The sequence below is a fragment of the Homo sapiens genome, chromosome 14 (genome assembly GCF_000001405.40).
Source record: "Homo sapiens chromosome 14, GRCh38.p14 Primary Assembly".
In the NCBI taxonomy this organism is placed as follows: domain Eukaryota; kingdom Metazoa; phylum Chordata; class Mammalia; order Primates; family Hominidae; genus Homo; species Homo sapiens.
Genome location: NC_000014.9, coordinates 95002733 through 95006458, shown reverse-complemented (window position 1 = coordinate 95006458; position 3726 = coordinate 95002733). Strand labels below are relative to the sequence as shown.

The window sequence follows — 3726 nt, the reverse complement described above, 5'->3', positions numbered from 1 at the left end:
AGGCAGCTTACAGTAAAGGATTCTGGTGAATACATTATTTCAATAGCTAGTCGCTGTGCTAGTTCCCAGGCCTTCAAGGAAGCAAAATCTTTAATCTTTCCAGTAAAGCGCATAGCGTGTGATTCTTTCTTCCTGGCCTTCACAGAAATAAGCATGGTTTGTAGAAACAGGGAAGACCCTGCACCAGCTGGTAGCTAGGGGAGAGTGCCAGGCATGGGTTAGAAATGGATTCCAGCAGGCAGAGGGCAGATTCCAAAATGATTCTGAGTGCCTATGTGCAGTGAGCCTTTTCCAGAAAGCATCACAGCTTGTAAGATGTAAGCAGCTGAAACCTGGGTCCTTCTGAGACCCTTTATATAGAGACATGTATTTGCAAGCCAGTCATATATGTCTTCCTCCAACTGTTACACGTTCATAGAATTTGAAGGCAGCTGTATGGTTATTGCAATTGTGCTAAAATAATTATTAATAGAATTGCTAGCTTAAGGTCTCTCTCCCACCACCAGACCATCTGTCCCAAGGGGCAGGAGCTGCAGGACATGGTTCACTTGATTCCTGGGGACTGGCACTATGCCTGGCACATCACATGGATTCATTACGTATTTGTTATAGGAATAAACAAAGGGGTGGCTACCCCAACTACAGAGCTGGGAGTGTCAGTGAAGAGACAGCTCTGGAAGGAGCAGGTAGGTATCAGTGAGTCCAGAAGATTTAAAAATGGCATGTACACCTTCACAGTCATAGAAAAAAATTCCTGTTTACATGAGCAAATGCAGAGGGAAAAAAAGGAAAAAAAAAGTCAAAGCTAAAGAAAGCAGAAAAATTATTTTAAAACATGTAGTAAAACAAGTGGTAGAAACAAGAACAAAAATATCAGTTAAGTGTAAAGGGGTTAAACCTCATGCTTATTCCCGAATGAGATACAAAAACAAAATTGGTTACAATTGGATACAAAAACTAAAATCAAAATTAAGCTATATACTTTCTCCATGGGACTCATGTAAAACAAAATGGCTCAAAAAGATGGAAGGAAATGTGTTTTGTTTTCTTTTTTCTCCAAAAATTGTAACAGAGAAAAAAAGATCGAGAAACTACAAAAAATTACGAGGGTAATAAAGAAGTAAAGAACACAAAACAAGGAAAACAAAATCCCAGAGTTTTATGGGATGTACTAAATAGTATTAAAATCTAAAAAACAAGCAAAGAGAAATTTTCACAAACATGCTAAGAGTAGAACAGTTTAACAGACATCTCTTAATCATTTAAGACCAAGTAGGTAAAACAAGGAACTTGGATGATACAAATTATGGATGGATGGATTTACTTCCTCTTATAAGTTGCTTTACAACTTTTCCAATCCCATGGAACATTAAAAACATTGATAATAAATTTTGCCATAGTAAAAATATGGATAAATCCCCAAAAAGGACAATCCCAATTTATAATGTCATATACTAACACGCTAAACATTATCAGCCAAAGCCACTAACAAGAACTACTTAAAAAGAATGGGCAGAATTTTTCTTCTAAATATGAGAGCGTAACTAAAAGCTGCAATTGGAGACCACCTAGAAAATATTGAAAATGAACACCCAATACACAGAAACACTTGCAACTTGACCAAGTCTGCATTAGATGATGTATTAGTTTCCTGTGTCTGCTGTACAAGCTGCATAAAGCAACAGCAATGCGTTCTCTCACCCTTCTGAAACTGACAAGCCTGAAGTCAAGGTGTCAGCAGTGCCACACTTCCTCATGTGGCTCTGGGAGCTCTCCCAGAGCCTCTGGGCTGGAGGCTGCCTCACTCCAGTACCTACCTCCGTCTTCACATCGCCTTCTCTTTTTCTTTTCTTTTCTTTTTTTGAGGCAGGGTCTTGCTCTGTCACCCAGGCTGGAGTGCAATCGTGCCATCATAGCTCGCTTCAGCCTTGACTTCCTGGGCTCAAGCGATCCTTCTGCCTCAGCCTCCCGCGTAGCTCCCACAGGCATGCACCACTACACCCGGCTAATTTTTTTCTTTTTGTAGACACAAGTTTTCACTATATTGCCCAGGCTGGTGTCAAACTCCTGGGCTCAAGCGATCCTCCTGCCTCGACCTCCCAAAGTGCTAGGATTACAGGCATGAGCCACCACGCCTGGCCTCACATTCTCCTCTTGTGTCCACGTTAAATTTCTCTCTGCATCTCTCTTGTAAGGCTGCAAGTGATGGCATCTAAGGCCTATCCAGATAACCTAGGATCACTTTATCAATTTTTTTGCCACATAAAGCGATATTCACTCTTTTGCCATAGAAGGTAATATTAATAGGTTCTGAGGGCTAGGAAGTAAATATACCTTTGTGGGGGCCATTTTTCTTCCTACCAAAGATGTACATCTGTAGCATAAAATAATTTCAATTGTTAAATGAGAATTAATAAAAATCAATGAACTAATGTTTTAAGTCAAGAAGTGAGAAAGAGCACTCCACAAACTTAAGGAAACCAAGAGGAAAAAATTAATAGAAAAAGGGGCTGGAATTCTGTTTAAATTTTTGTGACCGTTTATAAGAGGAGATGATAAAGTAGATTAATAGATGATAAAAGATGATAAAGGAGACTGTTGATAAAGGAGATAAAAAATATGACATGTAAATAAGATGAAAGTAAATATAATAAAAATAAATATATGAAATGACCATATGTCAGCGATTTTGTTTAACTTGATAGTTATTGAAGCCATCAGTAAGACGTTACAAGTTCAAAGGAGAATTCAATGAGCAGAGACATATATAGGCTGTGAAGTAAAGTTACAAATAGATGCAAAACTGGTGTGTTCGAAGGCAGAGCCAGGCCTGAGGCCCAGCCTCTGGGTCAGGCACAAGAGAGTCAGGGGTGGCCCGTGGCAGTGACAAGGGTGATGCTACTCATGACTTAGGGCCGTGTCCACCCAGGGCTCAGGGCCCTCTGCCAAGCCACTGACAGTCATCCAGGCCTCATTAGGGAGGAGCTGCACCTCCCTTTCTGTCCCTGCTCCTGACCCTTAATATTTGATCACCTGCTGATTAGAAACAGTAGCCCCTTGGCCGTGCGCAGCCCATGGTCCCTGAGCCAGGTGGTTTCTTGGCCACCCCCTCCCAACCCAGTGCCAGCTCTCACAGTCTCTTGCAGTGACTCCAGAGAGCTAAATGTTCGTGGCCACTTCCTCTGTGCCTTAGAAAAGGATTAGGGCTGTTGCTCGAGCCAGTGTTTACCCTGAGGGGCTCTGTGGAAGCCTGTTTCAGGAATTCTTGGTGGAAGCTCATTCACAGAACTCCTTCTTGCCTGGTTCCTAGAAAACGGCAGGAGGGACTGGTGTTCCATGGGACATGCATTGGGGAAACTGTCTAATGTAATTTCCAGGAAGAAAGAAGGATGCAGGAGAGTCTTATTAGAGCCTCTGTACTTCAGACGAAGTAGTGACAGGGTCTCAGGCGTAGGGAAAAGCCAAGGTGAGGAGGTGCTGTCTCCGGGCCTCTCCTGTCCCTCTCCACCGCCATAACACTGCAACAAGGCTCAAGATCTTGACCCCCAGCTCTGAAAGGTGGCCCACTCCCAGCCAGCAGTTGCACAGGAAGCCGCCTGGTATAACATAGTGGTCAGGAGTACAGACTCAAGCAGAACTGAATTTAAAACCTGGCCTCAGCCCTGCAGTCCAGCTGTGTGAATTTGGACTTGCTGTGTAACTTCCCTGAACCTCAATGTTTCCATC

The 3726-nt window shown here is 42.6% G+C and overlaps 1 annotated feature.

Annotated features, from left to right (window-relative positions):
• Positions 3016-3517: an enhancer, noted in NCBI's record as "H3K4me1 hESC enhancer chr14:95469279-95469780 (GRCh37/hg19 assembly coordinates)". NCBI's record gives its function as "activates a minimal SCP1, AML or CMV promoter by ChIP-STARR-seq in naive H9 embryonic stem cells {active_cell/tissue: H9 hESC(naive)}" and the evidence as "EXISTENCE:reporter gene assay evidence [ECO:0000049][PMID:30033119]".